At 53.1% G+C, this 23,818-nt stretch overlaps 1 protein-coding gene across 1 annotated transcript in view, besides 1 other annotated feature; it reads left to right on the top strand.

Moving 5' to 3' along the window:
* TRIOBP (TRIO and F-actin binding protein) overlaps positions 1-23,818 on the top strand; it is a 79,509-nt gene that overhangs the window by 17,616 nt on the left and 38,075 nt on the right. Inside the window, exons 6-9 of the mRNA NM_001039141.3 lie at positions 1,100-1,271; positions 8,522-11,840; positions 18,635-18,749; positions 19,736-20,779. Of these exons, the coding sequence (NP_001034230.1) occupies positions 1,100-1,271; positions 8,522-11,840; positions 18,635-18,749; positions 19,736-20,779 (4,650 nt within the window). The remainder of the gene's footprint in view (positions 1-1,099; positions 1,272-8,521; positions 11,841-18,634; positions 18,750-19,735; positions 20,780-23,818) is intronic.
* Positions 11,159-11,660: an enhancer, noted in NCBI's record as "H3K4me1 hESC enhancer chr22:38121829-38122330 (GRCh37/hg19 assembly coordinates)". NCBI's record gives its function as "activates a minimal SCP1, AML or CMV promoter by ChIP-STARR-seq in primed H9 embryonic stem cells {active_cell/tissue: H9 hESC(primed)}" and the evidence as "EXISTENCE:reporter gene assay evidence [ECO:0000049][PMID:30033119]".

Below are 23,818 nucleotides of genomic sequence, written 5' to 3' on the forward strand. Positions count from 1 at the left end.
AAATAGAGAAAAAAAAAAAAGTTGATTGATTGAGACAGGGTCTTGCTCCATTGCCCAGACTGGAATGCAATGATGTGAACATGGCTCACTACAGCCTTGACTTCCTGGGCTCAAGTGATCCCCCCACCTCAGCCTCCTCAGTAGCTGGGACTATAGGCATGCACAACCATGCCTAGTTATTATTATTTTTTTTAATTTTGTAGAGACAGGGTCTCACTGTGTTGCCCAGCCTGGAAGTGCTTTTTACTGAGGCCATGGAGCGGAGTCTACACCACAGAAGGTGTGGCACCACTCACTGTCACCTCTTGGGGACAGAACTTGACAGTTTAGGAAGTGCTTTTTATTTTTTATTTAATTTTATTTATTTTTGAGATGGAGTCTTGCTCTGTCACCTGGGCTGGAGTGCAGTGCCACAATCTCAGCTCACTGCAACCTCTGTCTCCCAGGTTCAAGCGATTCGCCTGCCTCAGCCTCTCGAGTATCTGGGATTACAGGCGCCCACCACTATGCCTGGCTAGTTTTTGTATTTTTAATAGAGACAGGGTTTCACCATGTTGGCCAGGCTGGTTTCGAACTCCTGCCCTCAGGTGATCCACCTGCCTCAGCCTCACAAAGTGTTGGGATTACAGGCGTGAGCCACTGCGCCCTGCAGGGAAGTGCTTTGTTTTTTTTTGTTTTGTTTTTCTTTTTGTTTTTTGAGACAGAGTCTCACTCTGTCACCCAGGCTGGAGCTCAGTGGCGCGATCTCCACTCAATGCAAGCTCCACCTCCCAGGTTCACACCATTCTCCTGCCTCAGCTTCCCAAGTAGCTGGGACTACAGGTGCCCGCCACCACGCCCAGCTAATTTTTTGTATTTTTTAGTAGAGATGGGGTTTCACCATGTTTCCCAGGATGGTCTCGATCTCCTGACCTCGTGATCCACCCACCTCGTCCTCCCAAAGTGCTGGGATTGCAGGCGTGAGCCACAGCGCCTGGCCAGGGAAGTGCTTTTTAATGCCAATTCCCTTCCCTTCCTTCTGCCCCTCTCATTTGGAGAGTATATGTCCTGCAGCCTTTTTTCTCCCGCAAACATACTTTCTCCTCCCCTTCTCTGGCAGGACTGGGACACTGTTGAGAGGCAGGAGGAGGAGGCCCCCAGCTGGGACGAGCTCGCAGTGATGATCCCGAGGAGGCCTCGGGAGGGGCCGAGAGCTGACAGCTCCCAAAGGGCTCCGTCTCTCCTCACCAGGTCCCCTGTGGGAGGAGATGCTGCAGGCCAGAAAAAGGAGGGTGAGTCCTTCTGCCAGGTTGGTTCCCATGGTGATGGCCTGGGGCCCCCCAGATAGCCATCTCACTGGCCATTTGGGACTCTGGGCACGGCTTACTTTGGTGGCCTGAGTGTTAATAATAGTAACAGTTTGCATGTCATGATGGAGCAGCCACAATGAGTTATGCTACCCACTTTAATTATTATTATTATTATTTGGGATGGAGTCTTGCTCTGTTGCCCAGGCTAGAGTGCAGTGGTGTGATCTCGGCTCACTGCAACCTTTGCCTCCCCAGTTCAAGCGATTCTCCTGCCCCAGCCTCCCAAGTAGCTAAGATTACAGGCTCCCGCCACCATGCCCAGCTAATTTTTGTCTTTTTAGTAGACATGGGGTTTCACCATGTTAGCCCAGCTGGTCTCAAACTCCCAACCTTCAGTGATCTGCCCATCTTGGCCTCCTAAATTGCCGGGATTACAGGCGTGATTACAGGCACGCCTAGCCTGTTATTATTATTATTATTACTATTATTATTTTGAGATAAGAGTCTCACACTGTTGCCCAGACTGGAGTGCAGTGGTGCCCTCTTGGCTCACTGCAACCTCCGCCTCCTGGGTTCAAGAGATTCTCCTGCCTCAGCCTCCTAAGTACCTGGGATTACAGGCACCCGCCACCACACGTGGCTAATTTGTGTATTTTTAGTAGAGACAGGGTTTCACCATGTTGGCCGGGCTTGTCTCAAATTCCTGGCTGGGGATTACAGGAGTGAGCCACTATGCCTGGCCTTAGCCAAGGAGTTTGGACTTCTCTAAATAGTAGGGAGCCACCGAAGGTTTTTGAGGAGGAAAGTCATGTAATTAAACCTGTGCCTCAGGAAGTTCCCTAGATCAAAGATGCAAAGGATGAATTGGAGCAGGGAGGGGTTGAAGGATGAGAAACCAGTTAAGAGACTGTTGCAGGCACTGTAGCAATAACTGGTTCAGGCATGAATCACTGGCGGATGCAAAATCCCTAGGGTGATAATTTGTCAGCAAACAGGATAGTCATGGTTTCAAAGTATTGTGTCCGGAATTGGTGGGTTCTTGGTCTCACTGACTTCAAGAATGAAGCGGCAGACCCTCGCGATATTACAGTTCTTAAAGGCGGCGTGTCTGGAGTTTGTTCCTTCTGATGTTCGGATGTGTTTGGAGTTTCTTCCTTCTGGTGGGTTCGCGGTCTCGCTGGCTCAGGAGTGAAGCTGCAGACCTTTGTGGTGAGTGTTACGGCTCTTAAGGAGACGCGTCCGCAGTTGTTCTTTCCTCCCTGTGGGTTCATGGTCTGGATGGCTTCAGGAGTGAAGCTGCAGACCTTCGTGGTGAGCGTTACAGCTCATAAAGGCAGTGTGGACCCAAAGAGTGAGCAGCAGCAAGATTTATTGCAAAGAGCGAAAGAACAAAGCTTCCACAGCATGGAAGAGGACCCGAGCGGGTTGCCAGAGCTGGCTGGGGCAGCCTGCTTTTATTCTCTTGTCTGGCCCCACCCACATCCTGCTGATTGGTCCATTTTACAGAGAGCCGAGTGGTCTGTTTTGACAGGGCGCTGATTGGTGCATTTACAATCCCTGAGCTTGACACAAAGGTTCTCCACATCCCCACTAGATTAGCTAGATACAGTGTCCACACAAAGGTTCTCCAAGTCCCCAACAGAGTAGCTAGATACAGAGTGTGGATTGGTGCATTCACAAACCCTGAGCTAGACACAGGGTGCTGATTGGTGTGTTTACAAACCTTGAGCTAGAGACAGAGTGCTGATTGGTGTATTTACAATCCCTTAGCTAGACATAAAGGTTCTCCAAGTTCCCACTACACTCAGGAGCCCAGCTGGCTTCACCCAGTGGATCTCGTTCTGGGGCTGCAGGTGGAGCTGCCTGCCAGTCCCATGCCATGCGCCCACACTCCTCAGCCCTTGGGTGGTTGATGGGACTGGGCGCTGTGGAGCAGGGGCGGCGCTCATCGGGGAGGCTCGGGCTGCACAGGAGCCCACGGAGGCGGGGGGAAGCTCAGGCATGGCGGGCTGCAGGTCCCGAGCCCTGCCCGGTGGGAAGGCAGCTAAGGCCCGGCGAGAAATCCAGCGCAGCGCTGGTGGGCGGGCACTGCTGGGGGACCCAGCACACCCTCCCCAGCCGCTGGCCCAGGTGCTAAGCCCCTCATTGCCCGGGGCCGGCAGGGCCAGCCGGCCGCTCCGAGTGCGGGGCCCACCAAGCCCACGCCCACCCGGAACTCCAGCTGGCCCACAAGCGCCGCGCGCAGCCTCGGTTCCCGCTCGCGCCTCTCCCTCCACACCTCCGTGCAAGCTGAGGGAGCCAGCTCCGGCCTCGGCCAGCCCAGGAAGGGGCTCCCACAGTGCAGCGGTGGCCTGAAGGGCTCCTCAAGTGCCGCCAAAGTGGGAGCCCAGGCAGAGGAGGCGCCGAGAGTGAGCGAGGGCTGTGAGGGCCGCCAGCATGCTGTCACCTCTCAGTATCACCCCTCAGATTCTGCATCGATTACTGAGAGAAAGGCACCCTTAGGCTGGGGAGAGCGGGAAGATACCACTTTCACCAAGAGGCTGCTCAGCATCCCCAGAGTGGGGCAAACCAACATAATATGCCCCCTGATATGATGCATGGGGTCAGGGGAGGGGATGCTGGGGTGGGCACAGAATCCCTTCCCTTCTAAATCGTCCTGCTGAAAATGCATTGCCTACACCTAACCCCAGTGAAACATCAGACAAACCCGAATTGAAAGACATTCTGCAAAATGACTGGGCTCCTCATAGGACAAAAAGCGGCTAGGGGACTCTTCTTGATTAAAAGAGACTAACAGGATGAGGACGTGGAATGCCATGTGTGAGCCCATTGGGATCTGGGACAGGAGGACACAGAGCTGTGACAGGCATTACTGGGACAACTGGGGCTTGTTTTTTTTTTTTTTTTTTTTTGAGATGGAGTCTTGCTCTGTTCCCCAGGCTGGAGTGCAGTGGCGCGATCTCAGCTCATTGCAACCTCCACCTCCTGGGTTCAAGCGATTCTCCTGCCTCAGTCTCCTGAGTAGCTGGGACTATAGGTGCCTGCCACCACGCCCAGCTGACTTTTTGTATTTCTAGTAGAGACAGGGTTTCACCATGTTGAGCCTGATGGGATCCGGGACACGCCTATAGTCCCAGTTACTCGGGATGCTGAGGCAGGAGGATCGCTTGAACTTGGGAGGTGGAGGTTGCCGTGAGCTGAGATCGCCCCACTGCACTCCCGCCTGGGCAACAGAATAAGACTCCATCTCAAATAAATAAATAAATAAATAAATAAATAAATAAGGGCCATGGTTGTGGGGTGAGGAGGGGACAGAGAAGGAGAGAGGTTTAGGAGGCAGACTTGATGGTACTTTGGACAGGAGGATACACAGTCACAGCTCCTGGCCTGGGTGTCTGGGTAGATGGTGTGCCCTTTGCTGAGAGCAGGTGGCTGGGGAGCGGATGGGCCCAGCGCTGGCTGTGCTGTGTGGGATTTGCGAGCCCTGAGGAAGAGGTTTTGAGGCTTCAGATGCTCAGGGAAGCAGGGGATGGAGATGTGGCATCTTCAACTGAGGAGCAATGTTCACTCAGGCACTCAGCAGACGTTTACTTACTGCCCACAAGTCAATCATGGCTGAATAGATGAGGCAGCAATGAGAACAGCAGCAGCATTACAGCAGTGACCTGTTTTTTTGATGTTCCAGGCCTTGTGCTAAATAAATGTCTTGCACAGAATCACTCTGGGCTCCCCGATCCCTCACTCCTGGTCTGCCTCCTTCCTCACGGGCCACTCCACCTCGCTCTCCTTTGCTGAGGCCGCCTCCTCTGCTTCACTTTTAAATATCTGATGCCCCACATCCCAGTCCTGGGCCCCTTCTGTCTTCTCCCTGCACACTTAGCTGCTTGGCTTTCGGTACTGTCTGGGAAAAACCATGACTCCGGAGTCCACATCTCTGGCCTTGATTTCTCCCCTGAACCTGCCAATTTATACAACCCAGCCCTCTACTGCGTTAATCACACCTCAGGCCCCACACTGCACTCACTGTTTCACTCATCCCCCCCCGCCCTTTTTTTTTTTTTTTTTTTTTTTTTTGAGACAGAGTTTCACTCTTGTTGCCCAGGCTGGAGTACAATGGCGCAGTCTCGGCTCACTGCAACCTCCACCTCCCAGGTTGAAGCCATTCTCCTGCCTCAGGCTCCCAAGTAGCTGGGATTACAGGCATGCACCACCACGCCCGGCTAATTTTGTATTTTTAGTAGAGACGGGGTTTCTCCATGTTGGTCAGGCTGGTCTCGAACTCCCGACCTCAGGTGATCCGCTGATCCGCCTGCCTCGGCTTCCCAAAGTGCTGGGATTACAGGCGTGAGTGACCGTGCCCGGCCCACTGCTACAATACTATTAACTAAGCTACAGACGTGATGGGATTCACCAGTTTTTCTACTAATATCCTTTTTCTGTTCCAGGATCCATTCCAGGATCCCACATTGCCTTTAGTCCCTCTCCTCATCTCCTCCGTCTCCTCCAATCTGTGACAGGTTTCCCATCTCTTCCAGTTTCCCCTGAAGGCTGGGGGCACAGCGATCTGCTCACCTTTGACTTTAAAAAAAGTCTCCCTGGATGAACAATGACATTGGCCCCAGAGTGCCCAGGCTTGGGGGCTACTGCAACCATCCAGGAGAGAAATAGTGGTGGCTTGGAGTAGGAAGTGGGTGTAGATGAGAGAAACAGGTGAATATGGAATGTATTTATTTTATTTTTCGTAGAGATGGGGGCTCACTATGTTGCCCAGGCTGGTCTCCAACTCCTGGGCTCAAGCAATCCTCCTGCCTCAGCCTCCCGAAATGTTGGAATTACAGGTGTGAGCCACTACCAGGCATGAAACGTATTTTAGAATGCCATGGGACATCAGCCACCAGCAATTTTTTTTGTTTTTTGTTTTCTGAGACAGAGTCTCGCTCTGTCACCCAGGCTGGAGTGCAGTGGCCAGATCTCAGCTCACTGCAACCTCCACCTCCCGGGTTCAAGCAATTCTCCAGCCTCTGCCTCCCGAGTAGCTGGGATTACAGGCATGCACTACTGCATCCGGCTAATTTTTTTTTTTTTTTTTTGTATTTTTAGTAGAGATGGGGTTTCACCGTGTTAGCAGGGCTGGTATCGATCTCCTGACCTTGTGATCCGCCCGCCTCGGCCTCCCAAAGTGCTGGGATTACAGGCATCAGCCACTGCTCCCGGCTGCATCCAGCTAATTTTTGTATTTTTAGTAGAGACTGGTTTCACCATGTTGGCCAGGCTGGTCTCGAACTCCTGACCTCAGATGATCCACCCGCCTTGGCCTCCCAAAGTGTTAGCATTACAGGCGTGAGCCACCGTGCCTGGCAACCTTGCAAATTTTGAATTCCCTGCTAGGTGCTGGGAACTCAGACTTTCACCAACACCAGCCCAGAGAGGCTGGACGAGGCAGTGGCTGCAAAGGGAGAGGACAGGGGATCTTAAGAAGGCGTGAAGGGAGGGGATCTGCATGAAGGCAACTGTGGCTACTTTTTTGTTTCGTTTTTTGTTTTAAGACAATGTCTTGCTCTGTTGCCCATGCTGGAGGGCAATGGCACATTCTTGGCTCACTGCAACCTCCACCTCCTGGGCTCAGGCACTCCTCCGGCCTCAGCCTCCTAGGTAGCTGGGACTACAGGCACGTACCACCAGGCCCTGCTAAGTTTTAAAAAACTTGTAGTAGAGACAGGGTCTCGCCATGTTGCCTAGGCTGGTCTGGAACTCCTGAGCTCGAGTGATCCTCCCACCTTGGCCTCTCAAAGTGCTGGGATTACAGGTGTAAGCCACCACACCCATAGTTGTGGCTCCTTTAAGATGAGGCCATGATACCCTTTACTCTTCACCTAAAGCAGTAGCCAAGGGACATGTACATAGGGGTGCTCAACACCTGCTTGGTGACCGAGGGATTGAGCGGGGTGGAGGGTGACACACCAAGGTCATGGCAACTCTGTCATGAGGCTAGGAGTTGCAAAGAGGGTCACTACTGAGGACAGTTACATTAATCCTTTAGGCCAGTGCTTCTGAAACTATAAGGTGTACAAATCACCAGACAGTTTTGTTAAATGCAGATCCAGAAGCAGTGCATCTGGGCTGGGACCTGAGATTCTGCATTTCTGGCAAACTCCCAGCTACCAGTTTATAAAAGGTTGTCCATCCCTGCACCTTTCCTATCCTCATGGCAGCCCTAGGAGAAGCCTCAGGGTAGGAACATTTGGATACAAAAAAACAGGGGCTTTCTAGAGCTGTCGCACAGGAAACAGGCTCATTAGAACCTGTCTCTACTAAAAACACAAAAATGAGCTGGGCATAGTGGTGCATGCCTGTAATCCCAACTACTTGGGAGGCTGAGGCAGGAGAATCATTTGAACCCAGGAGGCTTAGGTTGCGGTGAGCCGAGATCGCGTCATTGCACTCTAGCCTGGGTGACAGAACGAGACTCTGTCTCAAAAAAAAAAAAAAAAAGGTCGGGCATGGTGGCTCACGCCTGTAATCCCAGCACTTTGGGAGGCCGAGGTGAGCGGATCACCTGAGGTCAGGAGTTCGAGACCAGCCTGGCCAACATGGTGAAACCCCGTCTCTACTAAAAATACAAAAATTAGCTGGGCATGGTGGCGCATGCCTGTAATCCCAGCTACTCGGGAGGCTGAGGCAGGAGAATGGCTTGAACCTGGGAGGCGGAGGTTGCCATGAGCCGAGATCACGCCACTGCACTCCAGCCTGGGCGACAGAGCGAGACTCTGACTCAAAAACAAAACAAAACAAGAAATGGGGGGAATTCCTTGGATTCTGATTGAAGGAAATAGAACTGGGAAGGGAAGACTGTCAGGTGGCTGCTGTTGGGCCCACCTCTCCCTCCCTGGGGTCACACAGGCCATTGTCAACACTTCTCTCCACAAATTTGCTTCTTCTCTGTCTTGTCCGTGGATCCCCAGACCCTGTGGCCTTCCAGTTCTTGAACCCATCTCTTGAGTGAGTCAGGGTCTCAATTTCAAATTCTTGACCTCAGCTTGAGAGAGGCATCCAAGCCCTTGTCTAATCAGCCTTGGTCAGAGAGGTGGAGTCACTTGGTACAGACAGTGAGACCTGTAGGAGGAGGGTGTGGGGTTTGCCCTAATCACTGGTCCTAAGGGACAAAGAAAGGTAGAATATGAGAGCTGCCTGGACCTCTCCCCTTACCTTGAGCCCCTCTCTTCTCTCTCCAGACACCGGCGGTGGGGGCCGGAGCGCAGGACAGCACTGGGCAAGGCTCCGGGGAGAAAGCGGGTTGTCCCTGGAGCGGCACCGGTCAACACTGACCCAGGCTTCCTCCATGACACCACACAGTGGACCTCGAAGCACCACGTCTCAGGCTTCTCCTGCCCAAAGGGACACTGCTCAGGCTGCCTCTACACGTGAAATCCCCAGAGCCTCCTCTCCCCATCGAATCACCCAAAGGGACACCTCCAGGGCCTCATCCACCCAACAGGAAATCTCCAGGGCCTCATCCACCCAACAGGAAACCTCCAGGGCCTCATCCACCCAAGAGGACACCCCTAGGGCCTCATCCACCCAAGAGGACACCCCCAGGGCCTCATCTACACAGTGGAACACCCCCAGAGCTTCCTCTCCCTCACGAAGCACCCAACTGGATAACCCCAGAACCTCTTCTACCCAGCAGGACAACCCCCAAACTTCTTTTCCTACTTGTACTCCCCAGCGGGAAAACCCCAGGACACCCTGTGTCCAGCAGGACGATCCCAGAGCCTCCTCTCCCAACAGAACCACTCAACGAGAGAATTCCAGAACATCCTGTGCCCAGCGGGACAATCCCAAAGCCTCCAGAACCTCCTCTCCCAATAGAGCCACACGAGACAACCCCAGAACATCCTGCGCCCAGCGGGACAATCCCAGAGCCTCCTCTCCCAGTAGAGCTACACGAGACAACCCCACAACATCCTGTGCCCAGCGGGACAATCCCAGAGCCTCCAGAACCTCCTCTCCCAATAGAGCCACACGAGACAACCCCAGAACATCCTGTGCCCAGCGGGACAATCCCAGAGCCTCCTCTCCCAGTAGAGCTACACGAGACAACCCCACAACATCCTGTGCCCAGCGGGACAATCCCAGAGCCTCCAGAACCTCCTCTCCCAATAGAGCCACACGAGACAACCCCAGAACATCCTGCGCCCAGCGGGACAATCCCAGAGCCTCCTCTCCCAATAGAGCTGCACGAGACAACCCCACAACATCCTGTGCCCAGCGGGACAATCCCAGAGCCTCCAGAACCTCCTCTCCCAATAGAGCCACACGAGACAACCCCAGAACATCCTGTGCCCAGCGGGACAATCCCAGAGCCTCCTCTCCCAATAGAGCTACACGAGACAACCCCACAACATCCTGTGCCCAGCGGGACAATCCCAGAGCCTCCAGAACCTCCTCTCCCAATAGAGCCACACGAGATAACCCCAGAACATCCTGTGCCCAGCGGGACAATCCCAGAGCCTCCTCTCCCAACAGAACCACCCAACAAGACAGCCCCAGAACATCCTGTGCCCGACGGGACGATCCCAGAGCCTCCTCTCCTAACAGAACCATCCAACAAGAGAACCCCAGAACATCCTGTGCCCTACGGGACAATCCCAGAGCCTCCTCTCCCAGCAGAACCATCCAACAAGAGAACCCCAGAACATCCTGTGCCCAACGGGACGATCCCAGAGCCTCCTCTCCTAACAGAACCACCCAACAAGAGAACCCCAGAACATCCTGTGCCCGACGGGACAATCCCAGAGCCTCCTCTCGCAACAGAACCATCCAGCGAGACAACCCCAGAACATCCTGTGCCCAGCGGGACAATCCCAGAGCCTCCTCTCCTAACAGAACCATCCAACAAGAGAACCTCAGAACATCCTGTACCCGACAGGACAATCCCAGGACCTCCTCTCCCAATAGAGCCACACGAGACAACCCCAGAACATCCTGTGCCCAGCGGGACAATCTCAGAGCCTCCTCTCCCATCAGAGCCACCCAACAGGACAACCCCAGAACTTGTATTCAACAGAACATCCCCAGATCATCTTCTACCCAACAAGACAACCCTAAAACCTCTTGTACCAAACGAGATAACCTCAGACCCACTTGTACACAGCGGGACCGCACACAGTCCTTTTCCTTTCAACGAGACAACCCTGGAACCTCCTCATCTCAATGCTGCACCCAAAAGGAGAATCTGAGACCATCATCTCCCCACCGCTCCACTCAATGGAACAATCCCAGGAATTCATCTCCCCATCGTACTAACAAAGACATCCCCTGGGCCTCGTTTCCCCTCCGGCCAACTCAGAGTGATGGTCCCCGAACCTCTTCCCCATCTCGCTCCAAGCAAAGCGAGGTTCCCTGGGCATCCATCGCCCTCCGGCCAACCCAAGGTGACAGGCCTCAGACATCCTCTCCCAGCAGGCCAGCCCAGCATGACCCACCCCAGTCCTCCTTTGGCCCCACCCAGTACAACTTGCCATCCCGGGCCACCTCTTCCTCCCATAACCCAGGCCACCAGAGCACCTCCCGAACTTCCTCACCTGTGTACCCCGCTGCCTATGGGGCTCCCCTGACCTCTCCTGAGCCCTCCCAGCCTCCATGTGCTGTGTGCATTGGGCACCGGGATGCCCCTCGAGCCTCTTCGCCCCCTCGCTATTTGCAGCACGACCCCTTCCCCTTCTTCCCAGAGCCCCGCGCCCCTGAGAGTGAACCGCCCCACCACGAGCCTCCCTATATACCACCTGCTGTGTGCATTGGACACCGAGATGCCCCCCGGGCGTCCTCGCCCCCCCGCCACACCCAATTTGACCCCTTCCCCTTCCTCCCAGACACATCAGATGCCGAGCATCAGTGTCAGTCCCCCCAACACGAGCCCCTTCAGCTCCCTGCACCTGTGTGTATTGGGTACCGAGATGCACCCCGGGCCTCCTCCCCACCACGCCAGGCCCCAGAGCCTTCCCTCTTATTCCAGGACCTCCCCAGGGCCAGCACAGAGAGCCTTGTCCCTTCCATGGACTCTCTGCACGAGTGCCCCCACATCCCCACCCCTGTGTGCATTGGGCACCGGGATGCACCCTCCTTCTCATCCCCACCACGCCAGGCTCCTGAGCCATCCCTCTTCTTCCAGGATCCCCCTGGAACTAGTATGGAGAGCCTGGCCCCCTCCACTGACTCTCTGCATGGCTCCCCAGTGCTGATCCCCCAAGTGTGCATCGGGCACCGGGATGCACCCCGAGCCTCCTCCCCACCCCGCCACCCACCCAGTGACCTAGCGTTCCTGGCACCCTCACCTTCACCGGGCAGCTCTGGGGGCTCCCGGGGCTCAGCGCCTCCCGGGGAGACCAGGCACAACTTGGAGCGGGAGGAGTACACTGTGCTGGCCGACCTGCCCCCACCCAGGAGGCTGGCCCAGAGACAGCCAGGGCCCCAGGCGCAGTGCAGCAGCGGGGGCCGCACCCACAGCCCTGGCCGTGCAGAGGTGGAGCGCCTCTTCGGGCAAGAGCGCAGGTGAGCCCGGGGGTGGGGTCAGCCAGGTGGGCTGGGGAGGAGGCTCGGCAGCAGGACAGGTGAAGGGTTAGGGTGCCAAAAGAAAGTGTTCAAATCCCCCTGGCTTGCCATTTACCGGCTGTGTGACCTTGGGCAAATCGCTCCATTTCTCTGTTTCTGCATATTGGGAGTTTTCTGTTTTGTGTGTGTGTGTGGTTAAGTGATGTCATGCACAGCCCAGTGGTTAACAGCAAAGACTGCAGTCAGGAGGGCTGAGTCCAAATCCTGGGTCAAAGCCACATGTCAACTCGTATGACCTGATATAGTGAGTTAACCTACCTGAGCCTCAGTTTCCTCATCTGTAAGGGAGGGGAACATGAGCACATTCATTCAAATAAGGGTGAACTGTCTTTTTATTTTTTATTTTTTGTTTTTTTTTTTGAGGTGGAGTTTTGCTCTTGTTGCCCAGGCCGGAGCGCAATGGTGCAATCTCGGCTCACTGCAACCTCCACCTCCTGGGTTCAAGCGATTCTCCTGCCTCAGCCTCCCGAGTAGCTGGGATTACAGGCACGTGCCACCACACCCGGCTAATTTTTTTGTATTTTTACTAGAGACGGGGTTTCGCCATATTGGCCAGGCTGGTCTCGAACTCCTGACCTCAAGTGATCCACCCGCCTCGGCCTCGCAAAGTGCTAGGATTACAGGAGTGAGCCACCGTGCCCGGCCAAAATGAGAGTGAACTCTCAAACCCTTTGATCCAGACTCATGGGTTTTTTTTTTTTTTCTTCCGTGCATGAGGGAGAAGAAGAAAGTACCCATGATTTTTTCCTGCCTTGGCAAAGAAAACTCATGGGTCCCTATGCATTTCAGAAAACAGTTATGTCAATTTAAAATGTATGGCCAGGGCCGGGCACGGTGGCTCATGCCTGTAATCCCAGCACTTGGGGAGGCCGAGGCGGGCGGATCACAAGGTCAGGAGATCGACAGCAGCCTGGCTAACACGGTGAAACCCCATCTCTACTAAAAATACAAAAAATTAGCTGGGCATGGTGGCGGGCGCCTGTAGTCCCAGCAACTCGGGAGGCTGAGGCAGGAGAATTGCTTGAACCTGGGAGGCGGAGCTTGCAGTGAGCCGAGATCGTACCACTGCACTCCAACCTGGGTGACAGAGTGAGACTCCATCTAAAAATAAAAATAAAATAAAAATGTATGGCCAGAGCTACCTATTTTAAGAAAGAAAGCTCACAGAATTATGGATTTTTAGCAGTCAAACATCCTGGGACACCTGAAGTCCAGGTGTCTTTTGAGTCTCCTTGGTCAGCAGCACTGGCCCCCTGGAAGGGGAGCATTTCCTCCTGATCAGGCTGAGGTTTCTCTCCCCAGAAGTTCCAGCCCTCGAGTTTTCAAGAATCAGAGCTAGAATTCCATTAGTTAGGGTCAAGAGAACAACAGCAACAAAAAGCAGTCTGGAAGTCTCAAAACTTTCCATGTATATAATTCAACGAATTTTTAGTTTATTTACCAAGTTGTCCAACCATTGCCACAATCTAACTTTAGAACATTTTCATCACCCTAAAGGGTATGGAATATTTTGTATCTAAAATTCCTCTTTGCTGCTCCTTGGGAAAGTTTTCTCCTGGATTTGAATCTGCATGAGAAACCTTATCAGTCTTGGCTGGGTGCAGTGGCTCCCTCCTGTAATCCCAGCACTGGAGCTTGCAGTGAGCCAAGATCATGCCACTACACTCCAGCCTGGGTGACAGAGTGAGACTCCGTCTCAAAAAAAAAAAAAAAAAAAAAAATTAGCCGGGCATAGTGGCACACGCCTGTAGTCCCAGCTACTCAGGAGGCTGAGGCAGCAGTATTGCCTGAATTTGGGAGGTGGAGTTTGCAGTGAGCTGAGATTGCGTCATTGCACTCCAGCCTGGGCAACAAGAGTGAAACTCCATCTCAAAAAAAGAAAAAAAAGAAACTTTATCTCTTGTTCTTCAAATTTCCTTTTCCAGTAAGCTTGATCATTTAATATCCAGATGACAACCGTGTGGTCTCCAGCATTAGTATAATTCTTTCTTTGGCCTTAAAAACAAAAACCCAGAGCAGTTTTAGGTTTACAGCAAAATTGAGCAGAAAGTGCAGTGTTCCATGCACAGCCTCTCCCACTACCAATATCCTGTACTAGATAGGTATGCTTGTTTCCAGCTCCTGGCCTCAAGGGATCCTCCTTTCTTGGCCTCTCAAAGTGCTGGTGAGCCACTGTACTGGGCAGTAGGGTGATACATTTGTTACAATCCATGAACCTACACTATGAAATCACCCAAAGTTTAGGGTTCACTCTTGGTGATGTACAGCCTATAGGCTTGAATGAATGTATGACAAGTATCCACCATTGTAACATCATGGAGTAGTTTCACCCTGAAAGTCTTCAGTGTCTTTAACTTTTTTTTTTGTTTGGAGATGGAGTCTCGCTCTGTCACCCAGGCTGGAGTGCAGTAGTGCAATCTTGGCTCACTGCAACCTCTGCCTTCTGGGTTCAAGCAGTTCTCCTGCCTCAGCCTCCCGAGGAGCTGGGACTACAGGAGCATGCCGCCACATCCGGCTAATTTTTTTGTATTTTTAGTAGCGACAGGGTTTCACCCTGTTGCCCAGGCTAGTCTTGAACTCCTGAGCTCAGGCAATCTACCCACCTCGGCCTCCCAAAGTGCTGGGATTATAGGCGTGAGCCACCGTGCCTGGTCTGACCTTTTTTTTTTTTGAAACAGGGTCTTGCTTTGTCACCCAGCAGTAGTGCAGTGGCGTGATCATGGCTCACTGCGGCCTCAAACTGCCAGGCTCAAGCGATTCTCTCACCTCAGCCTCCTCAGTAGCTGGGACTACAGGCGTGTACCACTATACCCAGCTAATTTTTCTACTTTTTGTAGAGATGGAGTCTCACTTTGTTGCCCAGGTTGGTCTCAAACTCCTGGCCTCAAGCAATGCTCCCACCTTGGCCTCCCAAAGTGTCTTTGACCTTTTTATGATTACTATTTCTTGTCTAATGTCAATTTTCCTAACTTTGTCTTAACTAATAACTCAGCAGGGACATTAAGGTCTTTAAGCCAAAGTTAATTAATTTTCTTTCCTTTTTTCCAGGATAATTTCAGAGAGATAAGGTGTTTATATTAATAATAGAAATGAGAAATATGTTTACACTTTTATTAACCATTTGTTTTTACACGATCACTCCTATACATTTAATTCTACTCTCTTTGAAATAGCTTATTTACCTTTTAGGGAAGTTTTCATAATTTTACTGAATAATTAAAATTTTTCCTCTTATCTGGCACCTTTTCCAAGTAGAAAACCATTCATCCTCTGAATATGGAAAATTTTAAAACTGTGCAGTGTGTGTGTAAGGGACAGACTGGAGCTTATGAGCGGGTGGCTGTAGGAGTGTGCTTTTATTTTCTCCTATTTCCTCATCGATATGTATTTATTGAGCATCTACTCTGTCCAAGCATTGTCCCGAGTCTGGAAAATTTTTCTTAAAGGGTTGTCACATCAAAGCATTGGGAGTTTTGGCTTGATCTTAATTTTTTTTTCCTTAGATGCCTTTGGCATCTCTTAGAGTCACGTAGCATCCTGTGGTCATTTGAATTCAAAACCTAGCCTTCACTGGATTTGCTAGACTTGATGGCTTTGCTCCTTTAATTCTCTCTGGAGGTCGAAGAACCCATCTAAGCTTCCGAAGGAAACGTTTCCTTTGTCATGCTTGGTGCGGCCACATCAACCCTCGGGAACAGGTGGCCCCGAGGAGACGCTGTTGCTTCAGCATCGGACAAGCCAGGTCTCTGTTGGGGTTTCAGAATCTTCTTGAGTCCCTCACTCTTTTCTCTCAGTTCTACATGGGGGAAAAAAGGAAGGCGAGTTCTCAGGAGGAATGCTCATCAAGCAAGCTGGAGTTCGTATGGAAAATGCATCCATCCGGAAGAGAACACACAAGTGCCTTGCTTCCCTGCACCGGGTGTTTCCACTATTGTCCTCCTGGTCCTCCCCATTAGGGAGGAACAGCCCACTGGGTCACGTCTGGGCTCTTGCTTCATCGAAGCTCCTATACCCCAGTTCGGGGGAAAATTCACTCTAAGGCCTTCAGCTCTCACAGAGTAAGGAAACGCACTCACCTCCAATTAGATTACAAATTGGCTGGGTGCAGTGGCTCATGCTTGTAATGCCAAGACTTTGGGAGGTCAAGGCAGGTGGATTACCTGAGGTCAGGAGTTCAAAATGAGACCAGCCTGGCCAACATGGTGAAACCCCGTCTCTACTAAAAATATAAAAATTAGCTGGGCATGGTGGTGGACACCTGTAATCCCAGCTGCTCAGCAGGCTGAGGCAGGAAAATCACTTAAAACCAGAAGGCGGAGGTTGCAGTGAGCTGAGATTGCACCACTGCACTCCAGCCTGGGTGACAGAGCGAGACTCCATCTCAAAAAAAAAAAAAAAAAAAAAGTTACAAACAGCCTGCCCAGGGAGCCCTCAAGCTCAGAAACACTTCCTCCAGGGAACTTTGGTTCCTCTCCGAACCAGCTGCCAATAACTGCTAACAACTAACATTATTGTGCTTTATGGCTCTGATTCTAATGACATTGGCAAAAGACATGAAACAACAAAAAACTCCAACCCCATACTTTTTTTTTGAGACAGGATCTTGCTCTTTCACCCAGGCTGGAATGCAGTGGCATGATCATGGCTCACTGCAGCCTCAACCTCCCAGGCTGAAGCGATCCTCCCACCTCAGCTTCCCAAGTAGCTGGGACTACAGCCACGTACCACCATGCTCGGCTCATTAAAAAAATTTTTTTTTCCTAGAACAAGGTCTCATTCTGTTGCCAGGGCTGTCTCAAACTCCTCGACTCAAGTGATCCTCTGACCTCAGCCTCCCCAAGTGCTGGAATTACAGGTGTAAAGACACTGTACCTGGCCTCCCAACCCCATATATATATATATATATTTTTTGAGACAGGGTCTCACTATGTCACCCAGGCTGGAGTGCAGTGGCGCGATCTCAGCTCACTGCAACCTCCACCTCCTGGGGTCAAGCGATCCTCCTGCCTCAGCCTCCTGAGTAGCTGGGATTACAGGCACGTGCCACCACGCCTGGCTAAGTTTTGTATTTTTAGTAGAGATTGGGTTTCACTATGTTGACCAGGCTGGTCTCGAACTCCTGACCTCAAGTGATCCACCCACCTCAGCCTCCCAAAGTGCTGTGATTAGAGGCATGAGCCACCACACCTGGGCTAATTTTTGTATTTTTAGAGACTAGGTTTCACTATGTTGTCTAGGCTGGTCTTGAACTCCTGAGCTCAAGCCATCCGCCTGCCTCAGCCTCCCAAAGTTCTGGGATTACAGGCGTGACCCATTGCGCCCTGCCCAATCCCATACTTTTGAAGGTGTCGTTCCAGCATGGCTCCTCAGGCACAGGCCCACCACAGACAGCAGGGCCTATGGAGGCCTGAGCAGAGTTTCCTCATACTTCCCTTTTTGCTGCCTCACTCTGGGTCCACCACAGGGTGGCCTTTTTCAGGCTTCTCTTCCTGGTTCAGTTCATCGACCAAAGACATGGCTCCATTTGCTAACTGAGACCCAACCAAAATAAACATTCATGGAGTGGTTGGGCCTTTTGTTGTGACCCCTTAGGTAGAGGAAGGGAGAGATATGCCCAGGTTCTGTTTGGTGTTTCTACCTGTCAATAGAGATACCACGTTAATCATTAACAGCCATGCCTCCCAGTTAGTAAGCAAGACAACTAACTGGAACTAGACTTTTTACACAAGTTAGAGATGATCTTCATCGGATGCGTCAACAATGCCTGAAGCCCAGTGTCTTAGAAACAACACTTGCCCAGGGTCAGGCGTGGTGGCTCATGCCTGTAATCCCAGCTACTTGGGAGATTAAGGCAGAGAATCACTTGAACCCGGGAGATGGAAGTTGCAGTGAGCCGAGATCGCGCCACTGCACTCCAGCCTGGGTGACAGAGCGAGACTCCATCTCAAAAAAAAAAAAAAAAAAAAGACACTTGCTTGGACAGTTTATGTTGGCCTCTCTGAAGTTGTCAGGGAGAATGTTTCTTTCTTCTGATCTTGCTCAGAGCTCTTTTGCCAACAGCTAGGATGGCCTGGAGTTTTCAAGGCTAAGCGCTGGGATTCTGTTGGTTAACAGTGATGGGAGGGAAAAAGGAAAAGAAATCCAAAATTTACAATATGGACAGGAAAAGGCAGAAAGAATGGAACACGGGGGCACACAGCAGTCTGGCTCTGTCGTCCCACCTCGTGGGCTGCGATCATGATACAAGTGCTTGGCCCCTGGAACATAAGAAGCACTCAATAAATGCTTTGTCATAATGATTATGTGTGCCCAGTGCCTGGTACACAGTAGGTGCTCAATAAATCTTAATTCCCGCAAAGACCAGTCTAACCTTTGTCTGGGGGTGGCTCTTGGGCTGCTGGTGGGGTGGTGGTTAGTCATAGGAAGTACTGGATGAGACAGGAGAGGGCCATGGCCAGGGCCAGATCCCCCTCCCCACCCAACCGCCTCTACTCCCCACTTTTCTCGTCATGTTCGCAAGAGCCTCATGAGGCAGAATAGAGCAGTGTTAACCATCCCCATTTTTCAGAAGGGGAAACTAAGGCCCTGAGAGTCATCCTCACTTAGGGCCCTTCAACGAGCTTGCAGTGGGTCCCTGGCTGTCCCACATCTCCTCCTGTTGGAGGTGGGAGCAGAGGGGCTGGGGTGCTGGGAGTGGGACAGTCCCTCAGAGGAGTGGCTGCATTTGCTCATAGGAAGTCCGAGGCAGCGGGGGCCTTCCAGGCCCAGGACGAGGGACGGTCACAGCAGCCCAGCCAAGGCCAGAGCCAACTTCTCCGAAGACAGTCCAGCCCTGCCCCCAGCAGGCAGGTGAGCACTGCCAGCTGTCTGGGGCCCCGCACCCCAAGGGGCGGCCACTGCCTCTTCCCTCCCGCTAGAAGCCAGGCAGGGGGCTTGGACAGGAAGGTCCTCTATGAAAGGGTCGGAGTCCAATCATGGGGATCCAGCTCTCCCCTCTCCCCAACGGCCAGCAGCTCTTGGCAAAATGCACAAGACCCCACATTAATCCTTTGAAGATAGCCCCTCTCCCACGCTATCCCCTTCCTTTACTAAGCACTGCTGTCTTTTTTTTTTTTTTTTTTTTTTGAGATGGAGTCTTGCACTGTCTCCCAGGCTGGAGTGCAGTGGGACAATATTGGCTCACTGCAACCTCTGCCTCCCAGGTTCAAGTGATTCTTCTACCTCAGCCTCCCAAATAGCTGGGATTACAGGCGTGTGCCACCACACCCAACTAATTTTCGTACTTTTAGTAGAGACAGGGTTTCACCATGTTGGCCAGGCTGGTCACTCCTGACGTCAAGTGATCCGCCCACCTTGGCCTCCCAAGGTGCTGGGATTACAGGCGTGAACCACGGCACCTGGCCAATACTGCTGTCTTGAGCAGATTTCAGGGAAAGCCTTGAAGCAAGAATCTGGCTCTAAGGGCCCTCTCTTTCAGGGTAATTTGTATCTTTAACCAAACCCAGAGGGCTAGGCCCGCCTCAGTGGAATGGGGTATTGGTGGTGGAGGTTCTGGCACCTGATAGCCCAAGTTGGAATCAGTATCTTTGAGAGGGGTGAGAAGCCAAGAACGGGGGCAGGTCTTTGCAGATCTTTTTCTGGAACTGAGGAAAGCGGGTGAAAGGGAGGAGCTGACCCCGGAGGGGTGGGGCAGAGACCCTGTGTACTTTTTGGCCTGCTTTGATTCAGGCTGCTGTGTGGACACAGCCTTGACTCTCTGGGGGCCTAAGAAAGGCAGAGCTGGCAGCCAGGTCCCCAGAGAGAGAGCCTCACCTACCCCCTCACCTCATCCCCAGGTGACCATGCTCCCTGCCAAACAGGCAGAACTGACCCGGCGGAGCCAAGCAGAGCCCCCTCATCCTTGGAGTCCTGAGAAGAGACCTGAGGGAGATCGGCAGCTCCAGGGGTCCCCGCTGCCCCCCAGGACATCAGCCAGGACCCCTGAGAGGGAGCTGCGGACACAGAGACCTCTGGAGAGTGGCCAAGCAGGCCCAAGACAGCCTCTGGGGGTGTGGCAGAGTCAGGAGGAACCGCCAGGGTCCCAGGGCCCTCATAGACACCTAGAAAGGAGCTGGAGCAGCCAGGAGGGAGGCCTGGGCCCTGGGGGCTGGTGGGGATGTGGAGAGCCCAGCCTGGGGGCAGCCAAAGCCCCGGAGGGAGCATGGGGGGGCACTTCCAGGGAGTACAAGGAGAGCTGGGGGCAGCCAGAGGCCTGGGAGGAGAAGCCCACTCATGAGCTCCCCAGAGAACTAGGAAAGAGAAGCCCACTCACGAGCCCCCCTGAGAACTGGGGAGGCCCCGCAGAGTCCTCACAATCCTGGCACTCTGGGACACCCACTGCTGTGGGCTGGGGGGCAGAGGGAGCGTGTCCATACCCGCGTGGCTCTGAGAGGCGACCCGAGCTTGACTGGAGGGATCTGCTTGGCCTTCTCCGGGCACCAGGAGAGGGGGTCTGGGCCCGTGTCCCCAGCCTGGACTGGGAGGGCCTCTTGGAGCTCCTGCAGGCCAGGCTGCCCCGCAAGGACCCAGCTGGACACAGGGATGACCTGGCCAGGGCTTTAGGGCCAGAGCTGGGTCCCCCAGGCACAAACGATGTCCCTGAGCAGGAGTCACACAGCCAGCCAGAAGGCTGGGCCGAGGCCACCCCAGTCAATGGACACAGCCCCGCACTGCAGTCCCAGAGCCCGGTCCAGCTGCCCAGCCCTGCCTGCACCTCCACCCAGTGGCCAAAGATCAAAGTGACAAGAGGACCAGCGACCGCAACTCTGGCAGGCCTGGAGCAGACGGGCCCCCTGGGGAGCAGGAGCACTGCGAAGGGCCCCAGCTTGCCAGAGCTGCAGGTAAGGAGGTTTCCACCCTCCCAAGGGTAGCCAGAAAGTCAGCCCCACTCAGCCAAGTCTCCTTGGAAAAGCCTCCCCTTGGAGTAGCCTAAGCTCCTGCATCCCCCTCCAGGCTCAGACCTCAGCCTCCCTGCTGACCACAACCCATCCCGATCACCAAACTGGCCCAACAATGATGATGAGCAACACAGTTTTAAGCGTTTATGGGCCAAGCCCTGATCTGAATGTTTGACGTGTGCTTTTCCCATTTAGTCTCCTTAGCAACCAGGTGAGAAATACACTATTTACAGATAAGGAAACTGATGCGCAGGGTGAAGCCACTTGCTGGTGGGGCATGGGCAAAACCCAGGTCTGCTCAGTGCAGACCACACTGAGGCCTCAAGCAAGATGCTCTGGCCAGGGCCTATTCCCCTCCTGGCTCCACCATACCTGGTTTATGTTGTGTCTGGTGGCACACACCTGACCCCACCTGGGACTGTAGCCAGTGTGGGCATGCCCCTTCCCCTGGTGGTACTCAGGTACCTGAGTCCAGGACAGCCTCGCTTACCCTCTCTGGCCCCTACAGCTCCTCTCAGACACAGAGAAGAGGGTGCATCAATGCTCACTGGGTTCAGCTAGCTGCCAAGACAGGCTGCTTAAATGAGGGTCGTGTGCAAAGTGGGCCCAGCGCCGGGCACACAGTAGGTGCTCGCCCTTCCCCTGCTTCACTGGTGCTTTGGTGCTGCCTTGAAGCCCAGAACATTCTTCATCTGAAGATGGTGGGCAGGGAGGGTCTTGGAGGCCAGAATCCTGCACCCTGGCAATAGCTCATTGGGAGGACGGCATGTGGTTTTGAACACCAGCCTCTCTCTCTCTCTGTAAGATGGACCAACCACTTCTCTGACGGGCAGCGCTGGGGTGCCGTGGGGGTTCCTGCTTGTTTCTCCAAAGCCTCCTCATCTCCTAGATGCAAAGTCCAACGCCACCTGCCCCAGGATGAGCAGGGCTTCCAGGCATCAGGGTGCACCCCGTGCTGGGCCCAGGGCCTTGCCATATGTGCCTCAAGTGGATAGGAGGCAGCTGCCACTTGACAGATGGGGAAACTGAGGCTCAGACTCCTTAGGCATTTGCTGGGGGTCACACATGCATAGGTCGTGAGAAATGAGATCAAAGCATCCACTCCAAAGTTTGTGCTTTTATTTTTATTTATTTATTTACTTATTGAGACGGAGTTTCGCTCTTGTTGCCCAGACTGGAGTGCAATTGCACAATCTCAGCTCACTGCAACCTCCGCCCCCCAGGTTCAAGCTATTCTCCTGCCTCAGCCTCCCGAGTAGCTGGGATTACAGGCATGTGCCACCATGCCCGGCTAATTTTGTGTTTTTAGTAGAGATGGGGTTTCTCCATGTTGGTCAGGCTGGTCTTGGACTCCTGACTTCAGGTGATGCATCCACCTTGGCCTCCCAAAGTGCCGGGATTACAGGTGCGAGCCACCATGCCCGGCCTAAGTCTGTGCTTTTAGCCACCACGTCACAAAGCTCCTGAGCCCATGGGAGGACTGGAGAACCCTCTCCCCTGTATTTCCCTGTGGCTTTGATGAGTTGACCCTCCAATCAACTCAATGCGTGGACATCAGAGAAGCAGGGATAAGTCAGCTCGTCCTGCCCTCAGATTGCTGTCAGGCTTGTTAGGAAGGCACACAGACAGCTCAAGGAGGACACGGTGCTGTGTCCCGGGGCATGCTGGGTGCCACAGGCCGGCCAGGTCAAGAAGGAAGTTAGAAAGATTCTTCAGTTTCATGGTGAAGCTCAGGGTTCTCAGGAGGCTAGGAGATGGTGGCTGGGAAGGGATGGGAGCACCATGTACTGAAAGGAATTTCACAGATGACAAAACGAGTAACCACCAGGTCCTGCTGGGGCTCCAGCTGCTCCTCTCTATGAAAATCCTTGGCTTGGCACAGCTGGGTGCAGTGGCTCACATCTGTAATCCCAGCACTTTGGGAGGCTGAGGCAGGCAAATCACGAGCTCAGGAGATCGACACCAGCCTGGCTAACACGGTGGAACCCCGTCTCTACTAAAAATACAAAAAATTAGCCGGGCGTGGTGGCGGGTGCCTGTAGTCCCAGCTACTTGGGAGGCTAAGACAGGAGAATGGTGTGAACCCGGGAGGTGGAAGTTGCAGTGAGCCGAGATCACGCCACTGCACTCCAGCCTGGGTGACAGAGCGAGACTCCATCTCAAAAAAAAAAAAAAAAAAAATCCTTGGCATGGCACTCAAGGCCGGCTTCCCTTCCTTCCACTCCGGATTTGCCTCATTGGTGCTGAGCTGGCTGCAGGGCCTGTGAGCACATATCCCTGCCTTTGCACATGCTCTTCCCTGTTCAGCCACCAAACGCCTGTTCATTGTCGAAGTCTTAGGTCAGGCTCCCTGTCCTGAGAAGCCTTCCCTGAACAGTCACTCCTAGTAATGGTCCCCTTCTGGGCTTGGCAGTTTTGCTTCCATTTGTCCATGCAACATCCATCTAATAGGGTTGTCATTTCCCCATAAGCTCCACACAGGCAGGATCTCTACCTGCTTTATCTCTGTAACTCTAGCTCTGGCCCAGGGCCTGACATAAAGGAGGGGACAGCTCAGTGGATGCATGCAAGATGGAGGACACAGGGGTCAGTGGGTGAACAATGAATGAATGGAGGGTGAATGTGTGAATGGATGATGGATCAATGATGCATGTTGAATGAATAATAGACATCTTTTGGATGGATGACAGATGGGTGATGATGGATGGATAGCTGGGTGATGAATATATGGTGGTGGTGGATATATGATGGATGTTGCTTAGGTGATGGATGGATGAACTTTGGGTGGAATATGAATGGATAGATGTGGCATGGGTGGATGAATGTCAGATGATAGATGTTGGAGATATGGGTAGATGGATGATGGATGGAGAGAGGGATATGTAGGTATTGGGTAAATGGATATGTGATGGATCAATGGAGGGTAGATACATGAATGGGTGATAGACAATGGATGATGGGTACATGAGAGGGTGAGTCATG

This window comes from Homo sapiens, chromosome 22 (genome assembly GCF_000001405.40).
Source record: "Homo sapiens chromosome 22, GRCh38.p14 Primary Assembly".
Lineage (NCBI taxonomy): Eukaryota > Metazoa > Chordata > Mammalia > Primates > Hominidae > Homo > Homo sapiens.